This window comes from Homo sapiens, chromosome 2, assembly GCF_000001405.40.
Source record: "Homo sapiens chromosome 2, GRCh38.p14 Primary Assembly".
Taxonomy (NCBI): Eukaryota; Metazoa; Chordata; class Mammalia; order Primates; family Hominidae; genus Homo; species Homo sapiens.
In genome coordinates this window covers 180,583,026-180,605,570 of record NC_000002.12, presented here as the reverse complement: position 1 = coordinate 180,605,570, position 22,545 = coordinate 180,583,026, and the positions used below count along the sequence as shown (strand labels likewise).

Sequence of the window (22,545 nt, the reverse complement as noted above, 5' to 3'; positions counted from 1 at the left end):
GAGAAATCATTGCTCTTGGGAAAAATAATGTTGTATAGCATCAAATGCAGAAGGGTAGATGCTAAGATCTCACTCCCAGATGGAATGTGGTATTGTGATCTCAAAGGAGAAGATGTGAGTTAAACACTTTAGGCATACTTTGCATTATCATGAAGATTTGTTTTTATTATGTGCATTTTTATGTGCATTGTCTCATTTATTTGACACAAGGATTTCATGAATAAATACTTCTATTAATCCATTTTTATATGAGGAAACTGAGAAATTAATTTATGACTTGTATGAAATCATATACTCATGATTTCAAAGTCATTGCTCCAAATTTCATTTTGCCCCTTTCTCCTCCCCTATATGTGGCAAGCAAATCAGGACATGAACTACAGTACCAGCAATATACAATATACATAGTCACTAAGATCACAGGCTATGGTGCCAGGCTTCCTAGGTTCACATTCTACCTCTGCTACTTATATAACCAGTACTAACCCTCACCTTGCTTTAGGCAACGTAACAGTCCCGATCTTATAGGTTTATGGCAAAGATTAATGAGGTGGCAAGCGCAAAGTACTAAGAACATCCCTGGCATATAGGATGTTCTCAGTAAACCAGGTTGTTACACATGCATTCATTCCCTAATCATTTATCAACCTCTTTTTGCAAAGTACTTGCAGATTGGTAAAATGAGTAACAGTCTATGTTCGCAAAGATACTAGAATCTAGTAGAGAGACTTACATATCAATAGATAAACGTTAATAGTGGCTGTAAATCCATTGCTAAAGGAGAATGAAGAACAGACTACAACAACTTGGAAGAATGGTTAGGTCTTAGACCAAGGAAAGGTGGCCGAAAGTAATTTTTTGACATAGGTAGATAAAACTGTAAGATAATCTCAAAAATCTCTTTTAGAAAGTTAGGGTCTTTCACTCTTCTGGAGTAGGTTCACTACCCATTCTGTGGATGAACACACAAAACATCCTTCTAGACACACACACAAAAAAACTAGTTACAAAAGAAAACCCTTTTCTTAAAAGAAAAGTGAGGTCAGGCATTTCAACACCCTTGTCTCCCACATCCAACAGTTTATACATATATTTTTTAATGAAACAATGCAACTAAGATTTCATTCTCTAATAAGGGGAGGAAGAAAACCAATAGCTACAATCTGCAGTTGGCTTGCCTGGGATTTTGTTAGAAGAGGCCTGGTCTTATCTAGAGAGGAACAGTCTGAATGTCATGAATCTTTGTCATCTGTCTGTCTTATCTCCAGAATATCTGTCTCTACGCCTCCTCCTGGCCTCTTTTCTCACTACAGCTTGTCTTTCAGTTCCACAATCTAAGGAGGATAATAGATAGCCAGATTTTATTGGTCCCAACCACATCGTCTTCCCCACAAACCAGCAGCTCACTCACTTTTCTATTTTTTACGTTGGCCAGATTAGAAACTTGTGTCATCATCATCATTTTCCCCTACCGTGTCTCAAAGATCTAGGCTTTGAGAATAAAATTTCACAATGTCACAAAGATTGGAGGCCTCAACCCCTGCAATTTTACCACTGGACTTTCAATTACTTTGCAATTGGTCTGTCTGTTTTCTGTCCATTTCTCTTACAATAAATCCTAAGTGTTTTTCTACTAAAAAAAAAAAAATCTAAAGAAAAATGTTTCCTGTGCTGAAACATTTTCACAGGCTTCCTAATCTCCATGGAATGAGGTTTATATTCAGCCTACCATTCAGGATTTACTTGAACCAGATCCCAGCCTGCTTGTCTCTCACTCTTGTCCTTTTATTGAGACTTCAATTTAAAAACAAAATAAAGTGATCATTCTGTTGAACAGATTCCTTCTCTCAAATGCCTACTCACTCAAAAATCTTTCTATTGAAATTCTACACATTTTTGAGAACCATCCTCAATAACTATATCTCTGAATCTCACCAGGAATTCCTTCTTTATCTAAATTATCATATTGCTTTGTATATATCTTTCAGGGGCATTTGGCACATCCCATTCTAAATTGTGTTATAATCATGTATGCAACATTCTTAATTAGGAGTCGCTTATGTTTTTTCAAATGTGCTTATTTTTGTTGTTGTTGTTGTTTGTTTGTTTTCCCTACCCCTCTACAGTGATCATCTTAGTGTCTTAAATAAAAAGTTGGATAGATATACATTAACTGAGGGAGGGAACAGATGAAACAACCTTTGACGTTGCAAGGATAAGGATAAGAAACAGAGATTTTCAATTTGTAGAAACTAGATTTCCAATAGTTCCGCTTACTTAGTAGTGACCTGAACTTACACACTTCTGTTAATTTCATACGAAGACTGCTGTTCTGTGTAATAGGAATGGAGCAAGAAGGCAGGCTTTTGTTAAAGCAGGAAAATCCAGAAAACAGCATTGAGATTAGTTCCTTGCGAATAGTTCCTTGAATGTTATTGGTATATAACTCAACATCATTCAACTTACCTATCAAGATAAAAATATAAAAATAATTTTTTCATGTTGAAGTATTTCCAAATTTATAATGTAAGATTGTCTTAGTAGTAGACTGCGAAGGACACAACATTTTAACAAGGTGTAAAAACAAGTGTTAAATCTTTTTAAAAATTTACAGCTTATAATGAATGCTACCTAGGGAGAAGTCCCTGTAATTATGTGTAGCAATTTGTTAAGGCTTATTGTTAGATATAGAAGGTTTTGCAGATTCAAGTGCTTCCAGGTTCTTCAGATTACAACATTTCAGAGTCACCTTTGAATGTGCTGTCTAAATCTGAAAAAAAAAAATACAGGAATCATACCATTCTTGGACCGGCAAATATTCATTCTTTGTATGATGCTATGCCACACACCTGTTGAATTCTAAGGTTACTGAAGAGAAGGGATAAAACATTTGGAATCACATAATTTCATTCTGTTTTAACTGTTGTTTTTCTTTTTTATTTCTATCAGTAAGTATGAGCTTGAATTAACTGTTTTGAGGGTAAGCATCACTTGGAATTTAAATCAAAGCCAACCTTAATGAACTAAACCAACTCTGGATGAAAATGCCTCATTTCATATCAACTCTCCAAACTGATTATGCATGTATGCTATTTGCAGAGATGAAATTCGATTGGCTCCCACATTGAACACTGTGTTGGAAGTTAGTATTTCAGCCACTGATGTCTCAGGTGACTTGAGGCATTAGTTTGCTTTGATAAAGTAAATGAGACACAATGCAAAGATCATTAACACAAACAACTTTTTGCTAACAAAGTTTGCAGGTCATTTAGTCATTCATTATACACTCACTGGATTCAGGTCTCAGATTTTGAAAGATAAAGGGAGTTGTGCTTTAGAACAAAAGGGCAAAGAAATCCCTGCTTTTTCCCAGATGAATTGCCTAAATCATGACCTACAATATCCTGCCTGATCGGGCCCCTACCTCCCTGTTAAACCTCATCTTGACCACTCTCCTTCTTCTTTACTCTGTTCCAGTCACTTTGGCATGCAGAGCCCTTTCTCCACTCCTAGTCTTTGCACTGAGCTCCTCTCGTGGACTCATTCTTATCCTGTAAGTTTGCCCTGTGCCAGACTGTAGCCACTAGCCACATGTGCTGTTGAGCACTTAAAATGTGGCCAGTGTGAATTAAACTGTGCTGTGTTAAATACACGCTGGGTTTTGAAAATTTAATATCTATAAAATAGAATGACCTCATTAATATTTTTTCATATTGGCTTCTTGTGGAAGTGATAATATTTTGGGTTATATAAATATATTATTAAAATTAATTTTACCTGGTTCTTTTTATTTTTTTAGAATATGGCCACTAAAAATTTGAAGTTACATATGTGGCTTAGATCTGTGGCTTGCATTATATTTCTAATGGACGATGCTGCACTGTATATTAACTCACATGTCACCTTAGTGAGTTAAATTTGTCAGAAGACATTTTTTTATTTTCTCCCTTTTATGCAATGCTATATCCTCACCACCTAGACACATGTAAGGCAAAAAATAAATATTTGTGGAATGAATGAATACATTATACATTGAGAGTTTGGGATCTGGAATCCTGCTGGGATTTCAATCTCAGTTCAGCTATTTATTAACTGTAACAGCTTGAGCAATGGACTTATTCTTTCACAGAGTGTTTTTGAAGATTAAATAAATTATGACATCCAAAGGGCTTAAATCAGTGCCTGATATGTAGTAGTGCTCAATACATATTAGCTATGGATAAGTATTATTGTTCCATTCTGTAGCTAGGAATGTAAGACACAATTAAGATAATTATTTGTTTACTGAAATGTTAAAATGGAAGAGCTGTGATTTAACTCCTGAACTATTTGACTCTGAGATTTATTTTCTGTCTATTAAGCAAATATAAATCAATATTTGACTATTTGACTTAGATAAAAATCTGAAGTCAATTTAATGTTACTTCAATAATATTAAAGATAGATACATGAATCACATCTGGACATCCTCAAAGATATCAGACTTTGTGCTCTAAATTAAATATAATTGGCTAAAAACGTGGCATATGATAACAAGTATTATATTAGCTAATATTTAGTTTATCAGCAGCAGGTACTCTTCCTACATTACATATATTAACATATTCAGTTCTCACTCCAGCTCTGAAAATAGACACTATATATCATTATTTCTATTTTCCAGATGAGGAAACTGAGGTACAGAGAGGCCAAGCACATTGTGAAGGTCACACACCTAGGAGAGGAAGGAGGTGGAATTCTCACTCAGCTGATGTGGCCTCAGCACCTGCACTCTCCTGTTTTCTGCTGAACTGCATTCTGCTCTCCCATTTTATGCCTGTGGAACAGTAAAAGATGGGTGAGCATTCAGTCTTGTAGTTGCTGTGATTAACTCAGAGATAGGAACTGACTTCTGGTATTTATCAGTAACACTACATTTCTAAGAAAAATTGTTTTTCCATCTCAAAAAGTGGAATGGACTGTCTCAAAGTAAATTTTCCTTCCAGAGGACATCTTTGTAATCCACATAAGCCTCGGTTAGCCCATCAAAACCTCTGCTGTCTGAGAAGTGTTTCACCTTAATTGGACTTAAAGCAAGAATAAATTATCCTACATATCATAACACATCAGGCCCAATCAAGCTCAGAAAATGACTGTTTGCTTCTCTCTTTAGAAGCCCAGCACAATAGATCCTATGCTGATGACACTTGCAATATTTAAATAAAACTAGACCAAGTTTATGATTGAAGAAGCCATCATCTTTCATTAGAATGGGAAAATAAATTTTCAGTATTAGGCTACTAACATGTTTGAACGGCTCAATTCATTTTCTATCAGGTCATGGCCAATATTCACCACAGAGCAGCCTTGTTGAAAACAATCCTCTTAAAGAATCTACTTTGTCTTGATGACAAAGTGGTGTGTTCTTTCCCTGACAAGAAATGAGAAAAAATAAAAATAAAACAAGCTAAACCCTCCAAATGTTTTTACATTTCAGTGATTTGGTCCTGTAACATTCTCCCCTGTGTGAGAGGGAAAAAGGATAAGGGAAAGGACAGATCATTATCAGTGAGCCCTCTCCCGCATGCGGCAGAAGCAATTGAAATGTGGAGGAACCAGTAGCCAAAGGCAGCCTGGAGCAGAGGGAGATGTCAAAATGAGAGTCCGAAAGGCCAGGCTCTGCTTCAGCAATGCCATCTACCACCTCTATGTATTTGAGCATCTCACACAATCCTTTTCCAAGTAATTATTTATACAATGAGATAGATGGTTTGATTAGATCCCGAGATCATTTTTCACAATAATATAATATCACATAAGATATTTTACACAAAATCTGGACATATGCCAGATAAGTGGGGGCATTCCAATGTCCAGTATTTTGTTAGAATTTGGAAGTCAGAAGGAGGACTCCCTTCCACAGAACTTGGAGATAAGAAACATAATGATATCTGATAGATAAAGTAGCAAAATCCACACATTATGGCTGTGGTCAGTCATCAGGGAAAGTTCACAGGGGAAATGCATATGACTCTGTGTCCGAAGGGCTTGGGAACATTGGAAACTCGGAAGTACAGAAATGGAATATGAAGACGCCTAAGTATCTTGAGATCTAAACACAAGAGTTGATGTTCTTTTTTTTTCTTTTTTTTTTTTGGAGAAGGATGTATGTGTACAAAGGATACAAATCAGCCAGAAAACTAGAAATGAGAAGACCAAATATTTTTGTACTCTTTCCAATTCTAAGTTTGGGAGGGTGGCAAAGGGTATATCCTCTATGGAGATGGGCAGAGCAGCCTCCAGAGCTCGACATACCTGAGTGTTCCAGTCAGATAATTCTCACTTGCCTTATTCTGACCTGCACTTAGCAGGCATCCTTCGGCCCATGAGAAGAAAATGCATTGGAAAGAAGACTGGCATCAATGTCCAATCTGCCTATGGTTGTATTTTTTTTAATGGAAGTAAAAAAAGGACTTCCTACAAGAAATGGGCCTCAGGGAATTATGTATCAAATGGCTATTTCAAGTATTCTAATCTACCTCATAATTGTATTTATCATTCTAAATAACTAGTTGAGATTGTGGTTGAAATATACCCATTTCATTGAGCTTTATTAACGTGAGTCTGTGCCAACGTGATGGATGGTGTTGGCAAGATGAGGTTTAAAACCACATATCCCCAAATATTTCTTAGTTTCCAAATGGACATAATGTCCCAGTCTCCATCCCGCTTGATTAGTAGGGGATCCTGTCTCTTCTCCCTCTGGGTCTTTCTGGGTTTTTTAGGAGTGATTACAGATCCTGAAAACCTGTGCTGGTTTTAGCATCTCTGTCAACCATCTTCTTTCTTCCCTACCAGCAGCAGATTGTTTTTTTTCCAATTGCTTTTTTTTTCTGCTTCCTAATCAGCATTACCAAGTTTCTCTGGAGGTTTTCCTGTATAGCATCACCACAGGTCTGGCACAGGCTTGAGAACAAACCCAGTTTATTTCACCAAAGATATGGAGTTATAGAAAAGAATAATGACCAAAAAAAAAAGAAAAAGAAAAAGAAGAAAAATTTTTAAAATTGGACAAAGGTATTGTAATGGGTTGAACAGTGTGTCTCCCAATTCATATGTTGAAATCCTAACTCCCAGGACCTCAGAATGTGACCGTATTTGAAAATCGGATTGTTGCAGGTGTAATTAATTCAGATGAAATCATACTGGAGTAGGGTGGACTCCTAATCCAATATGACTGTTTTCCTTACAAAAAATGGGAAATTTGAACACAGAGACACATGCACCAGGAGAATGCCATGTGAAGACTGGAGTTAGGCAGCCACAACCAAGGTGAATTATTAAAAGTTAGGAGAGAGTTCTGGAACATACCTTTTTCTAGTGCCTTAATAGGGGGCATACCCTGCTGATACGTTGATCTTGGATTTCTGGCCTCCAGAACTGTATGACAATAAGTTCTCTTGTCTAAGCCACTCAGTTTGTGGTACTTGGTTACAGCAGGCCTGGCAAACTAATATAGGTATTGTGGTTCCCTCAATCTTCAGAGTAGGCCCCACCATAGGACCTGTAACATTATGAGCCCTCACTTGCTGTGAAAATGCAGGGACCTGGGCATCTATAAACATATAAATTCTATAACAGGGACACTAGAACCTTCTTACCTATAGTCTGCACCTCACAGTCAATTTTCTTGCATCATCCAATGATAGAATCAAAACACTCTTTCTCTACAGCTAGTGTAAGGTCTGGTTTACAGGCAAAATCAAAACAAGCTCTTCTGAGGTACAATTCTGATCACAATAAGAAAGTTTGTCTCATATGTCACCATTATGGTATGGCATTTGGTTTAACCTTTGCATAGCCAAAGAGGTGATAAAGTATTCACCAAAAATTAAAAAATAATTTTAAAGAAGGTTGAATTCTGCTATTACTTCAAAAAATAGTTATAAAATAGTAGATTTTCTACTCCCTAGATATTTAGGTTTCAGAAGTATTTATGTAAGGCACCTGATACCCTGCTTTAGGATCTATGAGAATGATGAATACACTATAGACACGGTGTGAATTCTTAGGTAAATATCATCTTTTGAGGCCTCCTGGTTGGTATTTTCCATGTGCAGGGAACAGTGTCCACACCTCACCCACATCACCATATTCCTTCAGTACTCCCTGATCTTATATATGCTAAGGGCTTTTCATAGCAAACTCTGCCTGAGGGTTTTATTTTTATTTTTTTTCTGGCCTCGGTGTTCTTGGCCCACTCACCAAGCAGACTGAATTGCTAGAGTGTTAATAGTCTTGGGAGTAACCCTCAACCAATGCAGAAACAGATGGTGTACAAATACCTATAAAAGTCAGTGTTATGAGTTGAATTGCATCCCTCAAAAAGATATGCTGAAGTCCTGACCCCTGGTCCCCATTAATGTGACTTTATTGGAAATAGAGACTTTATAGATGTAATCATTTTACAATAAAGCCATACTATATTAGGATAGATTTTAATCCAACATGACTCATGTTTTTATAAAAAGAGGAAATTTTGTATATGGACAGACATGGGAGAAGCCAGCCATGTGAAGACAGAGATAGAGATTTGAGTTATGCGGTAGCATGATGCTATGCCTGGGGCTACCAGAAGCTGGGAGCAGCAAGGAAGAATCCTCCTCTAGAGACTTTGGAGAGAATGTGGCCCTGCCAACACCTTGGTTTCAGACTTTTAGGCTCCAGAAGTGTGAGAGAATAAATCTCTCTTGTTTAAAGCCACCTAGTTTGTCATAATTTAGTATGGCAGCTCTAGGAAACTAAATTTTAGGTATTAGCTTGGCTAGGCTACAGTGCCAGCTACTTAATCAAACACTAATCTAGGTGTTGCTGTTAAGGTATTTTGCAGATGTAGTTAACTTTAAGTAAAAAGTAATACCTTCAATAATATGGTGGGCCTCATTCCATCAGTTGAAGGCCATAAGAGCAAAAGATGGAATTTCTCAGAGAATAAATTCTACCTCGAAACCGCAGTACCAACTTCTGCCTAAGTTTCCAGCCTTTCCGCTTGTCCTGCAGATTGTGTAGTTGCCAGTCTCCACAATTACATGAGCCAGTTTCTTAATAAATTCATCTCTGTGTGAGTGTGTGTGCGTGTGTGCAAACACACACACACAAGCACACACACTTTTCTGTTTCTCTTGAGATCTCAGACTGATACAATACTCTAATTCTCTTGCTTCTGGAATGGGACAATTCTGAGATATGTTTGTGTATTAGTTCGTTCTTATGCTGCTGTAAAGAACTGCCAGAGACTGGGTAATTTATAAAGGAAAGAGGTTTAATTGACTCACAGTTCTGCATGGCTGGAGAGGCCTTACAATTATGGCAGAAGGGGAAGCAAACATGTCCTTCTTCACATGGCAGTGGGAGACAGAAGTTCAGAGAGAAGGGGGAAAAGTTCCTGATAAAACCATCAGATCTCGTGAGAACTCTCTCACTATCACAAGAACAGCATGGGGGAACCACCCCTATAATCTAATAACTTCCCATAAGGTCCCTCCCATGACACGTGGGGATTATGGGGACTATAATTCAAGATGTTCAAGATGAGATTTGGGTGCGGGCATAGCCAAACCATATCAGTTCAGCACTATTTCCCAAAAGATCTCAGCAGAATTGATGCTCACAGTAGTAACCTGCTTATTAGCTTTCTTGTATTGGCTCCTTTCCTATTGTGGCAAATAGATTCTAAGATGGTTCTCATGATCCCTGTTTCCCATTATTCCCATCCTCATGTGATTCTCTTCCTTTGTGTGTAGACGTGACCTAAGACTTGTTTGTAATAGAGGTAATGAGATATGTATTATTACAAGTACAGAATTACATTACATAAGATTTTGCACCTGTCTTTCTGAGAAAATTCTCTCTCTTGCTGGCTTTGAGAAAGGAAATGGCCATGCAGGGAAAGCTCACCTGGCAAAGAACTGATGGCAGCCTATGACCTACAGCCAATAAGAAAATGAGGCTGGCCAGGCATGGTGACTCATCTCTCTAGTCCCAGCTCTTTGCGAGGCCGAGGTGCGAGGATTGTTTGAGCCCAGGAGTTTGAGATCAACCTGAGCAACATAGCCAGACCCCATCTTTACAAAAAATTTAAAAATTAGCCGGGTGTGGTAGTACATGCCTGTGGTCCCAGCTACTTGGGAGACTATGGTGGGAGGACCGCTTAAGCTCAGCTTGAGGTTGTAGTGAGGTATGATTGTGCCACTGCACTCCAGCCTGGATGACACAGAGAGACCCTGTCTCAAAAAAAAAAAACAAACAAAAAAAAGATACTGAGGCCATCAGTATGACAATTCACAAGGCATTGAATGCTGCCAGTAACCACATTACCGTGGCAATAGATACTCCCCAAGTCTAACCTCACACGAGACTGCAGCACCACACAACACTGTGATGGCAGCCTTCGAGACCTGGAAGCATATTGGTTAGACTGCTGTCTGTGTTCTCTGGAAAAATTCCTCAAATTTTTCTATATGGTATTAACAACTTTATGAACCTCATAGACCTGTCATTCACATTTTTCTGATAATGTTTAAGTGATATTTTAATAGTGATGTACTAATGGAAAAAATGCAATTAGAACTTGGGTCATCAAAGTCCTAGTTCAAGGATTTTCTTGTTCTACCCAAATGTATTCCTCTGGTGCTCACAGGAACTCAAATGTTGCATATAAACTTCTGGTGATATAGAAAGGCTCTAACTGACCTTCATACAGGATTCAGTATGTAAGTGTGGATGTGGGGGTGTGCAGGTCTGTTTTTTGTGATTTGTGAGAATTTGATTTTTACATCAACATTTTTATCCATCAGCTCACATCTCTATTTCCAATTTAGAGCAACTTGGCAGTAAGAAGGATCAAAGATAATCATTTCATATGAGGAAATAGAGGGTTATTCAGCTATTAGCAGTCAAGAAAATTTACCCTCTTGGCCTCTAGCTTATTGATTGACATTGATTCAATTGGAAAACTGCAAAGATGTGGCTGTTTCACCTCCATTTAAAATAATTAGAATTAGCAAGAGAATGTCTTATTGCCATACCTGTCGCTAATTTTCACAATTACCATGAACTTCTGGGAAAGGATAAAGGGGAAACCCATACTGACCTTTCTGGCAGGCCAGAAGATATTAACAATCAACCCAAAGAGTTCACAGGATATCCTTTTCAGTAAGTTGTTCTTATTTATTTTTCCATAAAATTATGACCTGATTCATTATCTTGGCATTGATTTATAACTACAGTTCTTTGGAAAATATATAAGGTCTGAAGTCAGGAAAACATCTCAGAAGCATTCACTCTACCATGTAACCATTAATTTACCCTGATTTGGAAAAATAGCCTGAAAACTAGTGAATGCTTCCATCTCAGGAGAAACTTCAGTGTCACTAGATATGGTAAACTGTAGTATGCTATTTTAACAAAATCCAGAGCAAAAAATGGATGAATCCAGGGGAACTACCTATAGCACCATCTGAGGCTTAGGATGTTAAAAAAAAAAAAAAAAAAAAAACAGAAACAAAACAAAACAAAAACTCTTCTGGTAAAATAAAATGATTCTTAAATTGATAAAAACTAATATTTAACATTATTATAGAGAATCATTAAGCAAAATTTGAAAGTAAAAATATGGCAAAGACATGCCTGGCAAATACTAACCAACACCAAAACAAACACACAAAACACAACACTGACAGCCTACATTAACATTAAGCCAGGTTGCATTAAGAGAAAAAGCAAAAAAGTTAAATGATGCCAAAAAGTATAACAATAAAATCATAAAGAGTATAATCTGTAACATAGTTTTATGTAAATTATCATGTTAATATATATTAGATAATATAGCTTCAGCTATTTTTAAGGCAAAACTTCAGAAACCACAAAGATACATAGAAATACCACAAAATTGAAAGTTTTTACTTATTCAGTCTAAGACAAAGCAAGCATACAAAAAATTTTTAGATAATTTATTCGGAATAGGGAGACAGAGGATTTCAAGAATCATCACAAATTCCTATCCCACCGTTTTGGGGTTACAGTCCATCCTCCCGAATGTTATTTGACACATGAACACGTAGGAACATACTTGTAAGTGACTATTACATCAAAGAAAAAGCAAAAAAAAAAAAAAAAAGAGACATAGCTAGAAAATAAATAAAACACTGCTTATTGTTGCTCATGAAATTTTGGCTAGAGTTGAGCTCTAATGAAAATTTAAAGCTCTAAGAAACTGAAACTGCTAAATATTTAAAATTTTATATTATAAAGAAACACACTACCCATTGTAGACAAGGGTGTGGGGATATGGAACCTCTTTACCATTGTAGAAAGGAGGTATAAATCAGTAAAACCTTTTTGCAGACTATTATCTGTCAAAATAAAAAGGAAAATGAATACACCCTCTGGCCTAGCAATTTTACTTGCAGGAGAAGGGCAAAAACAAATGTTTTTCAGTGGGCTATTGGAAAATAATGATTATCTATGAAAACTCATGTAATCCCATGCTACTATGAACTCATTAAAATGATTCAGGTAAATAAATAACAAATCAAAGTATAGTAAGTATAGTTCTTCTTGCAGAAAATCCCCCCTAAACCCTACTATAAATTTATATATGGATATATACATTCACATACAAATATTTATAAAGATACTTATAAAATATTAACAATAGCTATATCTTGGTAATGGTTTCAGAAGAAGGTTGTTTTGTGACTTTTTTTAAACTATAAGGCTGTATTACATATAAAATACACACCCTTTGAAAGGTTCTCCAGATTAAGAATATTAGACAAGGATTTATTATAATAAATATAGGAATGTATATCACAGCATTATTTATAAATTTGGAAAATAGAAATAATTAAAAGGTCTAGAAATAGGAAAATGGTAAGTTTTGTTGAAAGTATAGAATGAAATTCAGGGTAACATTTAAAAATTATCTCATAAGAGAGTATTTTTTGGTGAAAAATTATGTTAGTAATAAAATGCCAGACTGTTTTCAAAAGAGAAGCTATAAAGTATACGGCCTTAATATGCAATGATTATATACAGTCAGTACTATTGACTAACCATGCCTGGAGGGGTCCTCATTCTTTGTCTGGCATCAGTCATGGCTCTACATCCATGGGGCACATTGAGGACTTTGCAAAAATCCTTCATGCCTCCATTATCTGCTATTAACAATCTAACTTTTTTTCTAAGTTTGGGATATCATTTTAATTCCTGAATATTATACATGTAATTGATTTTTACTTTGTCCATTTTTTGTCCATTTGCAATTATATATAGAGAGAGAGACAGCATACATTTCCATAATTGTAAACTAACATTTTTATAGCCTTTATTTCAAGCAACTTTACCTGACTGAATCTGTGCCTTTCCGTCAATCTTATCATCATGATGTCATCATGATGTTGGTACACATACACAGTGGCCATGGAGTTGGAGTTGATGTGTAGGGATATGGGAGAGAATAGATTAACATGTTAATGTTGTTTGTATTTTGTGTTTAAGTGATAAGACTACAAGTGGTTTTTATCTTCTGTTTCCTTATTTTTATTTTATGAATGTTCTAAAATTAATATGTATTTCTTCAGTAATTTTAAAGTTAGTGGAAAGGCAACTTTAAAACAATGTAGATACAGGAACCCCAATTTTGATTTGGTACTTATGTATATATTATATACCCCAACTTAGTTGTGGTTGTCTTTGGGTGGTAAGAATAGGATTTTTTACTTCCACATATTTTTAAAATTTATAATCAGAATAAAGTCAATAATTAAAAATTTAAGTATGTTCTTGTACTTAAAAATGTTAGTGATCAGAGTCCAAGATGGATGAATAGGAACAGCTCCAGTCTACAGCTCCCAGTGTGAGCGACGCAGAAGACGGGTGATTTCTGCATTTCCAACTGAGGTACCGGGTTTATCTCACTGGGGCTTGTCAGACAGTGGGTGCAGCCCAGCAAATGTGAGCTGAAGCAGGGTGAGGAAGCACATGGGGTCAGGGAATTCCCTTTTGTAGCCAAGGAAAGCAGTGACAGACGGCACCTAGAAAAATGGGTCACTCCCACCCTAATACTGAGCTTTTCCAACGGTCTTAGCAAACGGCACACCAGCAGATTATACCCTGCACCTGGCTGGGAGTGTCCCATGCCCATGGAGCCTCACTCATTGCTAGCACAGCAGTCTGAGATAGAACTGCAAGGTGGCAGCAAGGCTGGGGGAGGGGCGCCCACCATTGCTGAGGCTTGAGTAGGTAAACAAAGCAGACAGGAAGCTCAAACTGGGTGGAGCCCACCGCAGCTCAAGGAGGCCTGCCTGCCTCTGTAGACTTCACCTCTGGGGGCGGGGCATAGCTGAACAAAAGGCAGCAGAAACCTCTGCAGACTTAAATTTCCCTGGCTGACACCTTTGAAGAGAGTACTGGTTCTCCCAGCACGGAGTTTGAGATCTGAGAACGGACAGACTGCCTCCTCAAGTGGGTCCCTGACCCCCGAGTAGCCTAACTGGGAGGCACCCCCCAGCAGGGGCAGACTGACACCTTACACATCCGGGTACCCCTCTGAGACAAAGCTTCCAAAGGAAGAATCAGGCAGCAACATTTGCTGTTCAGCAATACTCGCTGTTCTGCAGCCTCTGCTGCTGATACCCAAGCAAACAGGGTCTGGAGTGGACCTCCAGCAAACTCCAAGAGACCTGCAGCTGAGGGTCCTGACTTTTAGAAGGAAAACTAACAAACAGAAAGGACATCCACACCAAAACCCCACTGGTACATCACCATCATCAAAGACCAAAGGTAGATAAAACCACAAAGATGGAGAAAAAAAAAGAGCAGAAAAACTGAAAATTCTAAAAATCAGAGTGCCTCTCCCCCTCCAAAGGAATGCAGCTCCTCGCCAGCAATGGAACAAAGCTAGACGGAGAATGACTTTGACAAGTTGAGAGAAGAAGGCTTCAGACGTTCAAACTTCTCCAAGCTAAAGGAGGAAGTTCAAACCCATTGCAAAGAAGCTAAAAACCTTGAAAAAAGATTAGACAAATGGCTGACTAGAACAAACAGTGTAGAGAATGACCTTAAATGACCTGATGGAGCTGAAAACCATCGCACCAGAACTATGTGACAAATGCACAAACTTCAGTAGCCAATTCGATCAAGTGGAAAAAAGGGTATCAGTGATTGAAGATCGAATGAATGAAATGAAGCAAGAAGAGAAGTTTAGAGAAAAAAGAGTAAAAAGAAATGAACAAAGCCTCCAGGAAATATGGGGCTATGTGAAAAGACCAAATCTATGTCTGATTGGTGTACCTGAAAGTGACGGGGAGAATGGAACCAAATTGGCAAACACTCTGCAGGATATTATCCAGGAGAACTTCCCCAACCTAGAAAGGCAGCCCAACATTCAAATTCAGGAAATACAGAGAACGCCACAAAGATACTCCTTGAGAAGTGCAACTCCAAGGTACATAATTGTCAGATTCACCAAAGTTGAAATGAAGGAAAAATTGTGAAGGGCAGCCAGAGAGGAAGGTCGGGTTACCCACAAGGGAAGCCCATCAGACTAACAGCAGATCTCTCGGCAGAAACTCTACAAGCCAGAAGAGAGTGGCGGCTAATATTTGGCATTCTTAAAGAAAACAATTTTCAACCCAGAATTTCATATCCAGCCAAACTAAGCCTCATAAGTGAGGGAGAAATAAAATCCTTTACAGACAAGCAAATGATGAGAGATTTTTTCACCACCAGGCCTGCCTTACAAGAGCTCCTGAAGGAAGCACTAAACATGGAAAGGAACAACTGGTACCAGCCACTGCAAAAACATGCCAAATTGTAAAGACCATCGATGCTAGGAAGAAACTGCATCAACTAATGAGCAAAATAACCAGCTAACATCATAATGACAGGATCAAATTCACACGTAACAATATTAACCTTAAATGTAAATGGGCTAAATGCTCCATTGAAAAGACACAGACTGGCAAATTGGATAAAGAGTCAAGACCCATCAGTGGGCTGTATTCAGGAGACACATCTCACGTGCAGAGACACACATAGGCTCAAAATAAAGGGATGGAGGAAGATCTACCAAGCAAATGGAAAACAAAAAAAGGCAGGGGTTGCAATCCTAGTCTCTGATAAAACAGTCTTTAAACCAACAAAGATCAAAAGAGACAAGGCCATTACATAATGGTAAAGGAATCAATTCAACAAGAAGAGCTAACTATCCTAAATATATATGCATCCAATACAGCAGCACCCAGATTCATAAAGCAAGTCCTTAAAGACCTACAAAGAGACTTAGACTCCTACATAATAATAATGGGAGAATTTAACACCCCACTGTCAACATTAGACGGATTAACAAGACAGAAAGTTAAAAAGGATATCCAGGAATTGAACTCAGCTCTGCACCAAGTGGACCTAATAGACATCTATAGAACTCTCCACCCCAAATCAACAGAATATACATTCTTCTCAGCACCACATCACACATATTCCAAAATTGACCACATAGTTGGAAGTAAAGCCCTCCTCAGCAAATGCAAAAAAACAGAAATTATAACAAACTTTCTCGCAAACCACAGTGCAATCAAACTAGAACTCAGGAATAAGTTCAACTACATGGGAACTGAACAACCTGCTCCTAAATAACTACTGGGTACATAATGAAATGAAGCAGAAATAAAGATGTTCTTTGCAACCAATGAGAACAAAGACACAACATACCAGAATCTCTGGGACACATTCAAAGCAGCGTCTAGAGGGAAATTTATAGCACTAAATGCCCACCAGAGAAAGCAGGAAAGATCTAAAATTAACACCCTAACATCACAACTAAAAGAACTAGAGAAGCAAGAGCAAACACATTCAAAAGGTAGCAGAAGGCAAGAAATAACTAAGATCAGAGCAGAACTGAAGGAGATAGAGACACAAAAAAACCCTTCAAAAAATCAAGGAATCCAGGAGCTGGTTTTTTGAAAAGACCAACAAAATTGATAGACCACTAGCAAGACTAATAAAGAAGAAAAGAGAGAAGAATCAAATAGATGCAATAAAAAATGATAAAGGGGATATCACCACCGATCCCACAGAAATACAAACTACCATCAGAGAATACTATAAATACCTCTATGCAAATGAACTAGAAAATCTAGCAGAAATAGATAAATTCCTGGACACATACACCCTCCCAAGACTAAACCAGGAAGAAGTTGAATACCTGAATAGACCAATAACAGGCTCTGAAATTGAGGCAATAATTAATAGCATACCAACCAAAAAAAGTCTAGGACCAGATGGATTTACAGCCAAATTTTACCAGAGGTACAAGGAGGAGTTGGTACGATTCCTTTTGAAACTATTCCAATCAATAGAAAAAGAGGGAATCCTCCCTAACTCATTTTATGAGGCCAGCATCATCCTGATACCAAAGCCTGGCAGAGACACAACAAAAAAAGAGAATTTTAGACCAATATCCCTGATGAACATTGATGCAAAAATCCTCAATAAAGTACTGGCAAACCTAATCCAGCAGCACATCAAAAAGCTTATCCACCACGATCACATGAGCTTCATCCCTGGGATGCAAGGCTGGTTCAACATACGCAAACCAATAAACGTAATCCAGCACAGAAACAGAACCAAAGACAAAAACCACATGATTATCTCAATAGATGCAGAAAAGGCCTTCAACAAAATTCAACAGCCCTTCATGCTAAAAACTCTCAATAATCTAGGTATTGATGGCACGTATCTCAAAATAATAAGAGCTATTTATGAAAAACCCACAGCCAATATCATACTGAATGGGCAAAAACTGGATGCATTCCCTTTGAAAAATGGCACAAGACAGGGATGCCCTCTCTCACCACTCCTATTCAACATAGTGTTGGAAGTTCTGGCCAGGGCAATCAGGCAGGAGAAAGAAATAAAGAGTATTCAATTAGGAAAAGAGGAACTCAAATTGTCCCTGTTTGCAGATGACATGATTGTATATTTAGCAAACCCCATCGTCTCAGCCCAAAATCTCCTTAAGCTGATAAGCAATTTCAGCAAAGTCTCAGGATACAAAATCAATGTGCAAAAATCACAAGCATTCCTATACACCAATAACAGACAAACAGAGAGCCAAATCAAGAGTGAACTCCCATTCACAATTGCTACAAAGAGAATAAAATACCTAGGAATCCAACTTACAAGGGATGTGAAGGACCTATTTAAGGAGAATACAAACTGCTGCTCAACAAAATAAAAGAGGACACAAACAAATGGCAGAACATTCCATGCTCATGGATAAGAAGAATCAATATCATGAAAATGGCCATACTGCCCGAGGTAATTTATAGATTCAATGCCATCTCCATCAAGCTACCAATGACTTTCTTCACAGAACTGGAAAAATAAAAACTACTTTAAAGTTCATATGGAACCAAAAAAGAGCCTGCATTGCCAAGACAATCCTAAGCCAAAAGAACAAAGCTGGAGGCATCACGCTACCTGACTTCAAACTATACTACGAGGCTACAGTAACCAAAACAGCATGGTACTAGTATCAAAACAGAGATATAGACCAATGGAACAGAACAGAGCCCTCAGAAATAATACCACACATCTACAACCATCTGATCTTTGACAAACCTGACAAAAACAAGAAATGGGGAAAGGATTCCCTATTTAATAAATGGTGCTGGGAAAACTGGCTAGCCATATGTAGAAAGCTGAAAATGGATCCCTTCCTTACAGCTTATACAAAAATTAATTCAAGATGGATTAAAGACTTAAACGTTAGACTTAAAATCATAAAAACCCTAGAAGAAAACCTAGGCAATACCATTCAGGACATAGGCATGGGCAACGACTTCATGTCTAAAACACCAAAAGCAATGGCAACAAAAGCCAAAATTGACAAATGGGATCTAATTAAACTAAAGAGCTTCTGCACAGCAAAAGAAACTACCATCAGAGTGAACAGGCAACCTACACAATGGGAGAAAATTTTTGCAACCTACTCATCTGACAAAGGGCTAATATCCAGAATCTACAATGAACTCAAACAAATTTACAAGAAAAACATCAAACAACCCCATCAAAAAGTAGGCAAAGGATATGAACAGACACTTCTTAAAAAAAGACATTTATGCAGCCAAAAGACACATGAAAAAATGTTCATCATCACTGGCCATCAGAGAAATGCAAATCAAAACCACAATGAGATACCATCTCACACCAGTTAGAAAGGCGATCATTAAAAAGTCAGGAAACAACAGGTGCTGGAGAGGTTGTGGAGAAATCTGAGCACTTTTACACTGTTGGTGGGAATGTAAACTGGTTCAACCATTGTGGAAGACAGTGTGGTGATTCCTCAAGGATCTAGAACTAGAAACACCACTTGACCCAGCCATCCCATTACTGGGTATATACCCAAAGGATTATAAATCATGCTGCTATAAAGACACATGTACACGTATGTTTATTGCAGCACTATTCACAATAGCGAAGACTTGGAACCAACCCAAATGTCCATCAATGATAGACTGGATTAAGAAAATGTGGCACATAATACACTATGGAATACTATGCAGCCATAAAAAAGGATGAGTTCATGTCCTTTGAAGGGACATGGATGAAGCTGGAAACCATCATTCTCAGTAAAGTATCACAAGGACAAAAAACCAACACTGCATGTTCTCACTCATAGGTGGGAATTGAACAATGAGAACACTTGGACACAAGAAGGGGAACATCACACACTGGGGCCTGTCCTGGGGTTGGGGAAGGGGGGAGGGATAGCATTACGAGATATACCTAATGTAAATGACGAGTTAATGGGTGCAGCACACCAACGTGGCACATGTATACATATGTAACAAACCTGCACATCATGAACATGTATCCTAGACCTTAAGCTATAATAAAAAAAAAAAAAGTCAGTGAGCATAGTCTAAGTTCTGGTGACTCAAAGTGTAGATCACAGACCAGCAGTGTTTGATGTCACCTGGGAAGTGCAGAAACTCAGAATCAACCCCATTTCTGCTCATTTAGTATCTGCCTTTTAGCAAGGTGATCAGCATGAATATGAAAATTTCACAAGTACTTCTGTAGGTGATGATTCACTACCCAGAGACTTTTTTCATCTATGTTATCATCGTTCTTTAGCTCCTCTGTTAAAAATTGATTGGCGGCCGGGCGCGGTGGCTCACGCCTGTAATCCCAGCACTTTGGGAGGCCGAGGCGGGTGGATCATGAGGCCAGGAGATCGAGACCATCCTGGCTAACAAGGTGAAACCCCGTCTCTACTAAAAATACAAAAAATTAGCCGGGCGCGGTGGCGGGCGCCTGTAGTCCCAGCTACTCGGGAGGCTGAGGCAGGAGAATGGCGTGAACCCGGGAAGCGGAGCTTGCAGTGAGCCGAGATTGCGCCACTGCAGTCCGCAGTCCGGCCTGGGCGACAGAGCGAGACTCCGTCTCAAAAAAAAAAAAAAAAAAAAAAAAAAAATTGATTGGCATTAAGTGCTGCTACAGTTAGAAGTGACTGAAGTTGGATGATGAACACTTATTTCTAACACTGGGTCACTCCTATAGTGCTTTGAATAGGATTTCTTTTCTGTGATGTTTTGATTAAAAATATACATAACTTATATGGCTATAAGTAGTCTATTTGAACATCGAGTAAATGAGGGAAGGTAGGGACAGGAGAGTAGAGAAACTTTGACTATAATTAATCCTCACCCATAAGCAGAGAGGAGGTTGTCAGAGGCATAAGTCATGATGGGGTTAGGAAGTGGATATATTTTTATCAATCAAATCATTTTTGTTCAATCCTGATTATCAGATTACGGGAGGACTTATTAACAACTTATAACCATATGTAGCTTTTGATTTTATAAATAATTTTTCATAAGTATCTAAATGTATTGTTACCACTACCCAGTGGGATAGACATTTTAAGCAAGATCACTGTGGTTCAGAGAGGTTCACATCTGGCTAAAGAACTGAGAGCTAATCTCAAAGGGTCAAAGCTTCTTTCTGCAGCAATAGCCAAGATTTAAGCAGGGAAGAGTCATGACAATTCTTCCTCATGGACGAGTCTGACCACAATCCCATTGCTTCAGCCATACATCTTTCTCACCTACCTAAGCCCAGGACTGTGTTGGGTACTAGGCAGAAAGCTAAGAAACATAATGTATAGTCCTCACCAACAAAGAGCTTACAATCTTCTGAAGACAGACTGTCATTCCCATATTTTAAATATATTTACATCATCCTTATGAACGTGACATATCCTAGGTGAGTGTTCATTCTGGAAATCACTTTTTCTTAACCTCTAGCTCAATAAACTTATTTTGTGACAATGCTGGGGACTTACATATATGAGCCAGCGTGCTTGTACCAAAATAAGTGAGTTCACTTTTATCAGAACATTTTTTTCGCTTTTCATTGTGATGTCAACATTTATCCCCAGAAAACAGGAATAGCATTTCCCAGATTAACCACCCCAGACTGTTTCAAATGGAAATCCCTCCTGATTATGTAACTTGTTCCTGTTCTGAAGAGCTGCACCCCAGAGAGCAGAGAATGACATTCATCTGCCATTGCTGCTGCTCCTGGTTAGAAATGACTGTTAAGTATCGTCACCAAAGTAGGAGGTTTTACTGCTCTGCCTACTTGGTTGCTGGACTCATTAAGATCACTGAAAGGGTTGGCTTAGAAACAAATAAAATGTCTTCAATAATGAATGCTGTAATGAAAACTACAGCTTTTAGTTTCTATAAACATGGACTAGAAAATGTTATCAAAATTTTGCCTTAGAACTGAGCATTATAGGCACACAGACATTTTTTCCAACCTCATTTGCATGTATTTACTCATTCTAGTTGATAGCTCCAGATATGAGTCTTTAGACAGCAAAGCAGCAGGGTAAGAGCATGGAGTCTGCAACTGCATTTCCTGAGTTTGAACTGAGATTTGACCAAGCATTAGATGTGTATACTTAGGCAAATTGCTTAACCTTGCTGTGATTCAGCTCACTCATCTATAAAATGGGAATAATAATTGGATCTCAGAGTGCTGTCAAGAAGACTGAATGAGATCATGTAACCATGGTGCTTAGGACAGTGCTTAGCATCTACTTGGCATCACACATGTATTAGTTATTGCTAAATAGTGCCTTCTCTGGAACTGAAGCTCAAACATCTTCCTTTCATAGGGAATGTACAGTAAAATATTTCTGTACGTTCTGTGTGATAGTGCAAGTCTTTACTCCTGCAGAAAAGGAAAATGGTAAAAATAGTACTGAATAAGAAATTAGGAGTTACACGTCAGTAATTATAATTCTCTAAATTAACTTGGGAACTAATTTCTTAGCCTTTCTAAGATACAGTTCTTCATTTGTAAAACAGGAGGTTAGAATAGCTAATCTCAAAATTTTCTTTCAGTCCTAAATTTCAATGATTCTGAGATTTTGGTTAGGGTTCCATCTCGTATGAGAAAGGGAAGTTTGGCATGAGTGATCATAACTAA

General features: G+C 37.9%; 1 annotated feature.

Annotated features, from left to right (window-relative positions):
- Window positions 20,185-20,361: a silencer, noted in NCBI's record as "fragment chr2:181449937-181450113 (GRCh37/hg19 assembly coordinates)". NCBI's record gives its function as "represses an EF-1alpha promoter that drives an FKBP-Casp9 reporter gene in an ReSE screen in K562 erythroleukemia cells {active_cell/tissue: K562}" and the evidence as "EXISTENCE:reporter gene assay evidence [ECO:0000049][PMID:32094911]".